Source organism: Homo sapiens, chromosome 16 (genome assembly GCF_000001405.40).
Source record: "Homo sapiens chromosome 16, GRCh38.p14 Primary Assembly".
NCBI classification, from domain to species: Eukaryota; Metazoa; Chordata; class Mammalia; order Primates; family Hominidae; genus Homo; species Homo sapiens.
The window spans coordinates 68,648,516-68,660,630 of record NC_000016.10 but is presented as its reverse complement, the minus strand read 5'-3'; the positions used below and the strand labels follow the sequence as shown (position 1 = coordinate 68,660,630).

General features: G+C 48.8%; 1 protein-coding gene and 1 pseudogene across 5 annotated transcripts in view, besides 3 other annotated features; one reads left to right on the top strand and one right to left on the bottom strand.

Annotated features, from left to right (window-relative positions):
- Positions 1–12,115, bottom strand: part of CDH3 (cadherin 3) — an 88,462-nt gene that overhangs the window by 73,141 nt on the left and 3,206 nt on the right. The window lies entirely within an intron of this gene.
- Positions 2,072–2,572: an enhancer, noted in NCBI's record as "H3K4me1 hESC enhancer chr16:68691962-68692462 (GRCh37/hg19 assembly coordinates)". NCBI's record gives its function as "activates a minimal SCP1, AML or CMV promoter by ChIP-STARR-seq in naive H9 embryonic stem cells {active_cell/tissue: H9 hESC(naive)}" and the evidence as "EXISTENCE:reporter gene assay evidence [ECO:0000049][PMID:30033119]".
- Positions 5,785–5,929: an enhancer, noted in NCBI's record as "145 bp 16:68688677 sequence used in MPRA reporter constructs". NCBI's record gives its function as "activates a minimal TATA-containing promoter with rs12923069 allelic activity by MPRAs in UACC903 melanoma cells {active_cell/tissue: UACC903}" and the evidence as "EXISTENCE:reporter gene assay evidence [ECO:0000049][PMID:36423637]".
- Position 5,857: a transcriptional cis regulatory region, noted in NCBI's record as "rs12923069 or 16:68688677 MPRA-significant variant associated with a GWAS melanoma risk locus at 16q22.1". NCBI's record gives its function as "allelic transcriptional activity by MPRAs in UACC903 melanoma cells {active_cell/tissue: UACC903}" and the evidence as "EXISTENCE:reporter gene assay evidence [ECO:0000049][PMID:36423637]".
- Positions 8,623–9,875, top strand: LOC100418868 (calponin 2 pseudogene; annotated as a pseudogene).

Here is a 12,115-nt window from a genome sequence, read left to right as displayed (position 1 = left end):
CTGTCCTAGGCTTTAGTGCAGCAATATTTGAGTTTAAGAAAAAAACTCATAAGCTCCTCTTGGGGGGAAAATAAGAACAGAAATGAGTGTCTGCTTTAAGACTGGAAATCAACTTTTATTCAGCAAAATGCTTGCTAACTAGATTTTGAAATCTAAAGAAAAACTTGAGAAAAAAATGCACTTTGAATTGACTGATGACACATTCTCAATCTCTCAACACCCAGGGAAAATAATGCTAGTGTGAATGAATGTGGTAGTTTACTTCTGAGTCATGCAATTTAAAAGTTTTTGATTTTTGGTGAATTCATATGCTTTTGAAACTATTGACTATTATTTAGATAGTCATAAAACAAAAGTTAGTATGAAAACTATTTTTAAATGGTATAGTAACCTTAAGTTTACAGCAGAGTCTGTATTAAAGGTATTGTTTAAACATGAAAGCTCAATTTATCTGGATGATGTTAAGATGAACAGTTCACTCGATCATCTTTCTACAGCAGTCTTTCCTAATAAGGCAATTACTGATAGTTAGATTGCTAAAAATCCAAACACTTCACAATTTTGATGTTAACTCTTCCCTACACCACATCTGTAAAAGATAAAAGTAGAAGACTGGCTAAATAAATCATGGTACATTCACCATGTAAAAGACTACGGCGCTATTAAAAACAAGATAGATGTGTATTTAACAGTCTGGAAAGATGCCTGTGATTCTAAGTTAAAAAGCGAGCTGCAGAGTAACATTTGTATGCATGATATAGTCCAATTCTTGTTTTTAAAATTCCTGTATGCATACATAAGTTTTTTGTGCAAAAAAAAAAAAAAAGGGTCTACAAGGATTCTTATAAAATCAGTAACTGTGTGCTTGCCCTTAAGAGAGTAGAACTGGGGAAGAAATTTCACGTGTTTATTTCTTTTTCTCTTTATTTATTTTTTGGTTTTTTTTGAAGACAGGGTCTTGCTCTGTTACCCAGGCTACAGTACAGTGGTGTGATCTTGGCTCACTGCAACCTCTGCCTCCCGGGCTCAAAAGATCCTTTTTTTTTTTTTTGAGACAGCATCTCACTCTGTTGCCCAGGCTGGAGTGCAGTGCAGTCGTATGATCTTGGCTCACTGCAACCTCCATCTCCCAGGTTCAAGCGATTCTCCTGCCCCAGCCACCTGAGTAGAGTAGATGGGACTACAGGCATGCACCACCATGCCTGGCTAATTTTTGTATTTTTTGTAGAAACCGGGGTCTCACCATGTTGCCCAGGCTGGTCTCGAACTCCTGGGTTCAAGCAATCCTCCCACCTCAACCTCCCACAGTGCTAGAATTACAGTTGTGAGCCACCATACCCCAGCCTTCATGTGTTTATTTCTGACTTGCTTCTATTGACAGGCAGTAGAGTTCAGTGGTGTAAGCTCAGTCTGCTTAGGTTTGAATCTGAGCTCTACTACTTACTTAGCTGTGTGATCTTGGGCAAGTTACTTAACTTCTCTGGCCTCAGTTTCCTCACCTGTAAAACGGGGACAACAATAGTACCTCCCTCAAGGGATGTTTGAGGATTAAATGAGCTGATGCATATAAAGTACTAAGAACTTTATCTGTCACATAGTAAGTGCCACATATTTTTATTGAAAAAAGTGTGTCTTTACAGTGAACATATTTTCATGTATTAATTTGAAATCCCAACCAACCAACCGTCCCTATGTAAACAATATAAAATGGTATACATTGGGGAGGAGACGATAAAAAAATAAAAAGCTCCCCAGGCAATTTGATCACCAGCCAAGCTTGCAAACTACTGACTCAGAGGCCAAAAGCAGGGATAAACCAGTTGAAGTGGGGCTAAGTCCCAGCTGAGGAATGCAGGAGACTTCTGGAAGCGGAAAAAGACCATAAAAGACAAGAGAAGAGCAGGTTTCGAAGTACGGTGGGAAGCCTGGATGAAGCGACTCTACAGGGAGAAGGCAGTGTGTGGGCCTGGCGTCCTGTCCTGGCTTGTGTGGGGAGAGCTCACAAGTTGCTGTTTCTCCCCTGCCTGAAGTTACAACAAGATGGGGCACGCTGTGCAAAGGCCGCTCAGAAGGCAGTCAGCCTTCAGCAAGACACCCAGGAGAGCAGCCGAACCCTCCACCTGGGCCCTCTCACTGGCCAGTGAGCAGTCCAGCCAGCCGCCCTCTCATAGCTCCAGGGCCATTTCCCATGCACGCACAGGGAAGTTAGGGCCTCAAGGCTGAGGAGCTTGGACTCAGTAACTCGCCTCAGGCCACATCATTTGGGATGAGAAACAGCTTAGAATCCATTTTTCCCTTGCCTGTGCTGGGATATATACCATTAGGTCTCTTCCCACTGCTGGGTTTAACGAGAGTCTGAAGAATTTCCAAATGGACCCAAGTGCAAATCATTTCTCTAAACAGTAGTTCTAGCTTCTCTATAAAATGACTGGGGGCCAGGAATGATGGCTCACACAGGAAATCCCAACTTTGGGGTGCTGAGGCGGGTGGATCACTTGAGGCCAGGAGTTCAAGACCAGCCTGGGCAACATAGTGAGACCCTGTCTCTAAAAAAAAAAAAAAAAAAAAGAAAGAAAAAGACTGGGAGATATGGGGAATACCTGTGGTCCCCAAATTTGAAGGAGGAGACTTCTTAGAAAGATGCGCATGCACTCTTAGGCACGGTTAATTCCTGGGGATCAACGACTTCCTAAAGCGAATGTGAGACCCTAGAGTAAGAACTCAAGCAAAAATACCTTCTACTCCTCCTAGCGTACAACACAGGTTGTCAAGGTCTCTTGCTAATAGGTAACTTCCAACTTTAAAGTGGTCTTCAACAAAAGGGGGGCTACTGAGATTGAAGGAGAAGAAGAGGGCCTGGGATTATACCTCCCCATTCCCCATCTCCCCATTTAGCCCTAAGATGCCTCAGAGTCCTAGGGAAAAACAGATCTTTCCTCTTGGGGTTCAGTAGCACCTGGAGAGGCTCTCACGAAGGGAGGCAGCCCACCAGCCCTCCCACCTCCTAGCTCTGTGGCCTTGGCTCTGAGCCCTCTCCTCAGATGTTAGACAGCCACAGAGCCAGAGTCCTGAGTTCAAAGATGGGGTCGAGGGAGAAAGGAAGACGTTTGGCTTTTTGAGACAGAGTCTTGCTCTGTCGCCCAGGCTGGAGTGCAGTGGTGCGATCTCGGCTCACTGCAACCTCTGCCTCCCAGGTTCAAGCAATTCTTCTACCTCAGCCTCCCGAGTAGCTGGGATTACAGGCACACGCCACCATGCCCGGCTAATTTTTATATTTTTAGTAGAGACAGGGTTTCACCATGTTGGCCAGGCTGGTCTCGAACTCCCGAGCTCAGGTGATCCACCCGCCTAGGCCTCCCAAAGTGCTGGGATTACAGGTGCCAGCCATCACACCGAGCCCGTTTGGCTTTCTTTCCCCAGGTGAGGCATTCTGGTTCACTGCCCAAGCAGCAGGTCCCCAACACTCTTAAGTCCAGCAGACAGAGGCAGCTGCAGCCTGGAGGGAATTCTGTCAGCTGGAGGAATTTGCAGACCTCTGATGCTCTAGGTAACCCAGAGCCCTGAGGATGCCCAGATTTGGCTGGGGGAGGAGGAGCGAGTGAGGAAGGGTCTGTCAAGCTCTTCTACCCAGAGCAAGAGGTGGGAGGTCTTTGCTGCTGGAGGCAGGTGGGGGTGGGGTGACAGTTCTCTGCAGAGGGCTGTCAGTTTGAGTGCTCTCAGACCTGGTATCTGAACCCTCCCTGTTCCCCCATATCTTAAAAGGGAGGCCAGAGGTCCTGGGCAGAAGTGCCTGCCAACCCCAACCCTCCTGGCGATTAGCAGGGGCCTGTGGAGAGAATAGGAATTCAAAGCCCTTGGGTCAGAAGTTAACTATTTCCAATCTTCCTCTAATTTGGCTGGGGCCAGAAGACTCCAAATATCTTTCCCTTTCCCACCCTGATTGCCAAATGGTCAGTGCCTCATACTTAGGGGGTCACACCTGTGTTCAAAATGTGACACCACAATTTATTAGCTGGGTGACCTTAGATAGTTACAAAGTGACAAGCCGAGGTTTCCTATCCAGTTAAATGGGGCCAATTCCACCCACCTCATGGGGCTTTTAGGAGGATTAAAGGGGCTTATTACATAAAGTACATAGTGTGATTCTGGAATTCAGTAAGCTATTAGGTGGTATCTGGGTGGTGGTGGTGAGTTTTCACAGCCCTTCCTTGCCAGCCCTGCTGCCTGGGTTGGCAATGCCAGGTGACTAAATGAAATGAGAAAAAGGCAACTGAGGCAGACATGGTCCTCCAGTCTGAGAATCGGGAGGGGAGTTGAGAAGGGTTGCTGGGAGTGGGGGCCAATATCCTGGTTCCAGGGAAGACTTCAGAGACCCTGGCCTCCATACTGGTACAACTGGGACTTCAGCCATTGTCTCCATACTGGTACAACTGGGATTTCCCCAAACACTTTGCTGCCTCTGTTATGGGGTGAGACAAATTTCAAGCGGGGCTGGACCCTGCCTATGCCTCACTGGCTCTCCCCACCTCACACTCCATGATCCAGCCAGATTCAATGTATCCAAGTCCCTGGAACCCTGGTGTTGTTCCTCTGCCAGAACACTCTATGCCACCTCTCATGCCCAACTCCCTTGCCTAATTCTTCTTCCTTGGCTGCCAGCTTGGACATCAGTTCCTCGAGGTTTCTCCAAGAACATGTCAGCAGCCTCTCCTATGTGACTCTATATCACTCCTTTCCCACCTCCCCCTCAATCTCTTTTTCTTTTTTTGAGACGGCGTCTCGCTCTGTCGCCCAGGCTGGAGTGGAGTGGCTTAATCTCAGCTCACTGCAACCTCTGCCTCCTGGGTTCAAGCCATTCTCCTGCCTCAGCCTCCTGAGTAAGCTGGGATTACAGGTGCTTGCCACCATGCCAGGCTAATTATTTTGTTTGTTTGTTTGTTGTTGTTGTTAGCAGAGACGGGGTTTCACTATGTTGGCCAGGCTGGTTTCGAACTCCTGACCTCAAGTGATCCGCCTGCCTCGGCTTCCCAAAGTGCTAGGATTACAGGTGTGAGCCACCATGCCCAGCCCCTCCTCAATCTCATATATGCATATATTGTACTTATTTGTCTGTCCCTCTATACTAGCAGATAAGTGGCCCTTTGAGGCCAGGATTTTTGCACATTTTGTTCACTAGTGAATTCCCAGCACCTAGAACAGTACCTGACAGTAAACAGTACCTGAACTCTAATCAGGAGTTCACTGAGGGTTAGGAGCTGTGGCCTTACTTACCCTCTGAGTATCTAGTACCTAGTAGGTACTCAGACATTTGTTGGCTGAATGACCATTTCAAATTGGCTTTGGATCTCAGACACTTCACTGTTTCTATAAGAGAGGAGCTGGATTTGAACATGTTGGCCAAATAAGGAGCTGCTGCCCACCCACACACTGGTCAGGATAAAAATCTCCACCCAGGGCCATGCACAGTGGCTCACACCTGTAATCCTAGCACTTTGGGAGGGTGAGGCAAGACGATTGCTTGAGGCTAGGGGTTCAAGGCCAGCCCAGGCAACATAGTCAGACCCCTTCTCTATTTTACGTATTTATTTATTTTTGGAGATGGAGTCTTGCTCTGTTGCCCAGGCTGGAATGCAGTGGTGCAATCTCGGCTCACTGCAACCTCCGCCTCCCAGGCTCAAGCAATTCTCCTACCTCAGCCTCCTGAGTAGCTAGGATTACAGGCGCACACCACCACGCCAGGCTAATTTTTGTATTTTTAGTAGAGACAGGGTTTCACCATGTTGGCCAGGCTGGTCTTGAACTCCTGACCTCAGGTGATCCGCCCACCTTGGCCTCCCAAAGTGCTGGGATTACAGGTGTGAGCCATCATGCCGGCCGCCTCTAATTTAAAAATAAATATATATATATATATATATATTTTTTTTTTTTGAGACAGAGTCTTGCTCGGTCACCCAGCCTGGAGTGCAGTGACACGATCTCCGCTCACTGCAACCTCCACCTCTCAGATTTAAGAGATTCTCCTGCCTCACCCTCCCAAGTAGCTGGGATTACAGGCACCTGCCACCACGCCCAGCTAATTTTTGTATTTTTAGTAGAGACAGGGTTTCACCATGTTGGCCAGGCTGGTCTCGAACTCTTGACCTCAGGTGATCCGCCTGCCTCGGCCTCCCAAAGTGCTGGGATTACAGGCGTGAGCCAACGCACCCAGCCGCAAAAAAAAAAAAAAAAAAAAAAAAAAAAAAAAAAAAAATTAATTTAAAAATTAAGAAAAAGGCCAGGTGCGGTGGCTCACACCTGTAATCCCAGCACTTTGGGAGGCCAAGGCGGGTAGATCACAAGGTCAGAAGATCGAGATCATCCTGGCTAACACGGTGAAACCCTGTCTCTACTAAAAATACAAAAAATTAGCTGGGCATGGTGGCACATGCCTGTAGTCCCAGCTATTCAGGAGGCTGAGGCAGGAGAATCGCTTGAATCCGGGAGGCGGAGTTTACAATGAGCCGAGATTGTGCCACTGCACCCTAGCCTGGGCAACAGAGTGAGACTCCATCTCAAAAAAAAAAAAAAAAATTAAGAACAAATAAATCTCTACCCAGAAAGTTCTCAAGACATTTGGCCGGGAGCAGTGACTCACGCCTGTAATCCCTGCACTTTGGGAGGCCGAGGTGGGTGGATCATGAGGTCAGGAGATCGAGACCATCCTGGCTAACATGGCGAAACCTCGTCTCTACTAAAAATACAAAAATTGCCCGTCTCTATTAAAAATACAAAAAATTAGCCGGGCGTGGTTGCGGGCGCCTGTAGTCCCAGCTACTTGGGAGGATGAGGCAGGAGAATGGCATGAACCTGGGAGGCGGAGCTTGCAGTGAGCCGAGATCAGGCCACTGCACTCCAGCCTAGGCGACAGAGCGAGACTCCGTCTCAAAAAAAAAAAAAAAAGAAAGAAAAGAAAAGAAAAGAAATTCAGGGCCCTTTCCAGATTCCCTTTCTACTTTTGAGGAAAGAAGCAAGCATCAGGATAAGGACAAAGAAAGGGAAGCTTTTCTCCCCCAAGACAAAGGATGAGGCCAAGCACATAATAAAAACTTGCTGCCGGCCGGGCGCGATGGCTCAAGCCTGTAATCCCAGCACTTTGGGAGGCCGAGGTAGGCGGATCACCTGAGGTCGGGAGTTTGAGACCAGCCTGACCCACATGGAGAAACCCCATCTCTACTAAAAATATAAAATTAGCCGGACTTGGTGGCGCATGCCTGTAATCCCAGCTACTTGGGAAGGCTGAGGCAGGAGAATCGCTTGAACCTGGGAGGTGGAGGTTGCGGTGAGCCAAGATCACGCCATTGCACTCCAGCCTGGGCAAGAGCAAAACTCTGTCTCAAAAATAAAATAAAATAAAATAAAATAATTGAAAAATTAAAAAATAAAAACTTGCTGTCTCTTAGCATAGGGCCAGATGAAAATCAAGACTCCGGAAAGGGGGTGGGGTCTGGCAGGGAGACTGTTGGGGTGGGAGAATGCAGAAGACACCTCACTACTTCAGAACAGAGAGGAGCTGATATCTCAGTCCAGGATCACAGTACTGGAATCCTCAGGTAATCAGTTAACCCAGCAATTGTGCCCCAGGTGTATAACTAACAAATAGGGGTGCACAGGTCACTAGAAGATTTGCACAAAATGGAAACTACTGAAATGCCCATCAACAGCAGAATTGTGGATAGTCACATAATGAAATACTATACAATGAGAATCAACTAGAACTACATCCAGAATTACGCAAGAATCTCTCAATGGTGCCATGAAAGCAGCCAGAGCTAAGATAATTGTATGATCCTCTTACAGAAAGTTCAAATGCAGGCAAATTCACCTGTGGTACTCAGAAGTCAGAAGAGTGGTTATCTTGAGAGAAGGTTGAAATTAGGAGGGAGGGGGCATCCAAGGCTCTGGTAATGCTGTTTCTTGATCTGTGCGCCAGAAACACAGGGGTTTTAAGTTTGCGATGTTCATCGGGCTGCACACTCATCATTTCGGCACTTTTGTCTACATTTGTTATTCTTCAATAACATCGAGTCTCTGAATGGAGACTGTTCAGCCTCAGGACCAAAGCCTCAACTGATGGGAGCTGGGGAGGCCCTTCCTCCCTCCTCTTCCATCATCCTCCAAATGCTTTGCAGAGGTATAGTTTCTGGCCCTAGAAACTCTTTGCTTGTCATAAGCAATGCCTTCCTTGTGCAGCAGGGAGGTGAGAGCACCCTGCACTGGGTAACCTAGGAACACAGTGGCATATGAGGAAATGGGAAGGGAGACTAGAGGTTTGAGACCTGCTCCCCAGGCACAAGCTACTGGTGATGCAGGACAGAGTTTTCAGCAAGTTAACCCTACTCTGCTGCTAAGCCAGGAAAGCGGCCTGCTAGGCTTGAAGGTCCAGTTCCCATTCACTCCTCGGAGCCACATTTATGGATATCTCCCTGGGCTGTGGAGGCAAAACACCAGGGTTTAATTCCTGGCCTTCTGTTTGTTGCACCAGTGACCTCTCACTGACTTCCTCAACCTCATTTTACAGCTAAGTGGAAATTATCAACAACTGCTTTGCAGGGCAGCCCATAAGCACAGAAAATTACTAAATTAGGGCCCGTTGGTCACCTCTAGTCGGTCCTGTCCTGCCACCGCACCTGCCAGCCGTATTCTCCATGCAATTCAACAAGGGCCCCTCATACTGGCTCTCCGCCGAGGTCAAGAACCGGCTCCTGTCCAGATATGACCCCCAGAAGGAGGCAGAGCTCCACAGCTGGATCGAGGGACTCACCAGCCTCTCCATCAGCCCTGACTTCCAGCAGGGCCTGAAGGACAGAATTATCTTACACACACTCATGAACGAGCTGCAGCCAGGCTCAGTCCCCTAGATCAACCACTCCATGCAGAACTGGCACCAGCTAGAAAACCTCTCCAACTTCATCAAGGCCATAGTCAGCTATGGCATGAACCCCATGGACCTGTTTGAGGCCAGTAACCTGTTTGAGAGTGGGAACATGATGCAGGTGCAGGTGTCTCTTCTTGCCCTGGCGGGGAAGGCCAAGACTAAGGGGCTGCAGAGCGGGGTGGACATCAGTGTCAGGTACTCAAAGAAGCAGGAGCAAAACTTCGACTAGAACACCATGAAGGCCGGCCAGTGCGTCATCGGGCTGCAGATGGGCACCAACAAATGTGCAAGCCAGTCGGGTATGACCATGTACGGCACAAGGAGGCATCTCTACAGCCCCAAGAACCATATCCTGCCCCCGTGGACCACTCGACCATCAGCCTCCAGATGGGTACAAACAAGTGCGCCAGCCACATGGGCATGACGGCTCCCTGGACCCAGCTGCACATCTATGACACCAAGCTGGGCACCAACAAGTATGACAACTCCTCCGTGTCCCTGCAGATGGGCTACCTGCAGGGTGCTAACCAGAGCAGCCAGGTCTTTGGCCTGGGCCGGCAGATATACAATTCCAACTACTGCCCACAAGGCCCAGTGGCCAACAGGGCTCCCTCGGGCACCAACGACTGCCCAGGCCCAGGGAAGGCCCCTGAATATCCCCCTTACTACCAGGAGGAGGCCAGCTACTAAGGCTCCCAGCACGCTCTCTCCCCACATCGTCTCCCTGTCTGGGTTTTGGTGTTTTTCTACGTTTTCCTCTTCTTTTTTTTTTTTTTTTTAACCTGTTCAATGTTGCCAATCAACTGAGGGTCTGTGAGTGGCGTCATGGGATGTGGCAGCAGGGATATTCCCCCCTTGCCTTGGTTCCTTCACAGAACTGGGCCACCAGGCTGTGGGGGAAGGGGTTAAGGCTGTATCCCGAAGCATGTAGGGTGAGGGTCCCTGCTGGCACGTCCAGGCTATGGACTGAGCTGTGCTGGGGAGAAGAGACCTGGGCGTGGAGGGAACTGGTCCCCGAAGGTTTCCAGTTGCCTTGCCTCTTCCCCCTTTTGTCAGCCGATCAGTTTGTGGTTTCTGTACCCACAGAAGTTTCAGGAAATATTAAAATAAAAATATGGCCGGGCGTGGTGGCTCACACCTGTAATCCCAGCACTCTGGGAGGCCAAGGTGGGCAGATCACCTGAGATCGGGAGTTCGACACCAGCCTGACCAACATGATAAAACCCCGTCTCTACTAAAAATACAAAATTAGCCAGGCGTTGTGGCGCATGCCTGTACCAGTTACTTGGGAGGCTGAAGCAGAAAAATCACTCGAACCCAGAAGGTGGAGGTTGCGGTGAGCCGAGACTGCGCCATTGCACTCCAGCCTGGGCAACAAGAGCAAAACTCCGTCTCAAAAAAAGAAAAAATATATATATTTTTTCCCCAAGGAATGGGGCAGGGACAGTGGAGAGGGTGCTGGGAAATGAGTCCCCTAGGAGAGGGGACCTGACCACGATGCTAAAATATGTCAGGCTCCTGAGTGGCCGGCTTTCTCTAGGACCCTCAGGCCTGCCCAGGGGCCCGGTGGGGAAACTGAGGCCTGCACAAGGGAGCAGAATTCTGAGTTGTTGGGGCTAAACCTGACCCCCTCTCCATGCTAACTACCCCCTACTGTGGTCCTCAGGTTTTTTTTTTTTCTTTGAGGCGGAGTCTCACTCTGTTGCCCAGGCTGGAGTACAGTGGCGTGATCTTGGCTTGCTGCAACCTCCACTTACTGGGCTCAAGCGATTCTCCTGCCTCAGCCTCCCAAGTAACTGGGTTACAGGCACACCACCATCACACCCAGCTAATTTTTGTGTTTTTAGTAGATACGGGATTTCGCCATGTTGGCCAGGCTGGTCTTGAACTCCTGGCCTCATGTGATCTGCCCGCCTCAGCCTCCCAAAGTGCTGGGATTACAGCCGTGAGCCACCGCGCCTCGCCCCTCAGTAGGTTTTAAGGAGCCCCCAGCCCTCCATCTCCCCTTCTGGGCCTGACCAGCTATACTGCTTCATCTCCCCTGGCCACACGCCCCTCCAAGTACTGCACAGGGACCCCCCTTACCCAGGGGCCCTGCACCGTGAGATAATGTGAAACACCGACTGTGGACCAAATGGAATAAAACCTCTGTTTTTAAGAAAAAAAGAAAAATTACTAGACTGTAAGCTCCCCAAGGGCAGGGACTTCGTTTTGTTCATTGCTTTAGTTGAAGTTGTGGAACAGTGCCTGATCTATGCAGATGCGAAATATATGCTTACAGGAAGAATGAAATGGAAATAAAGGGCATACCCCAGAGTAGGGGCTTCCACAATAAAAGGCAGTTTTTACACCCAGAGCTGAAATAGACAAAACCATCTTGATGTTAATTTGTGCTCAGTCAGATGCATTATTGAACTTGGAAGCTTCCTCCCAAAGCTGATGGTTAGTTTTTAATCTGACCCAAAGGCTGACTGTGGGTCAGATGATCCTGCTGAAGGCCATAATGAAGGACTGCATCTGTTTGACTGCCATTAAGCTGCCTCTCTCAGTTGTTCACCCTTAAGGATGAGTAGACCACTGTAGGTCACTCACTTAATCACTGCACTAATACCATGAAAGTTCCCTCCTCCCACCTCTCCACTGTCGGCTTCCAGACCACACTTGAAGGAAGGTGGCCCCCAGACTGTGGCACTGGGATGGGGGAATGTGCCGGCTTTCCTTCCCTCCAGATTAACCTTTCCTCTTGAGCTAGTCAAGACCCCTCACTTGGGCCCTTAGAGACTAAATCCAAACCAGTTTCCTCTACATCAATGTTTCTGGAAAATCCTACAATTAAAAAAAAAAAAGACTAAGCACTCTTGGGGTGGGGGGCCGGGAGAGCTTGTTATTAATAGCTGTGGGATTCAGGGATCCAACATTCTACCCTCTCCACTCAGGCCCTGCTTTCTGGTAGTAAAAAATGCCAGGGAGCTGGGCACAGTGGATCGTACCTGTCATCTCAGTGCTTGGGAGGCTGAGGTGGGAAGATTGCTTGAGCCCAGAGTTTGTGACCAGTCTGGGCAACATAGTGAGACCCCGTCTCTAGAAAACATTAAAAATTAGCCAGGCATGGTAGCACATGTCTGTGGTCTCAGCTACTTGGGAGGCTGTGATAGGAGGATCACTAGAGCCCAGGAGGTAGAGGTTGCAGTGAACCGTGAT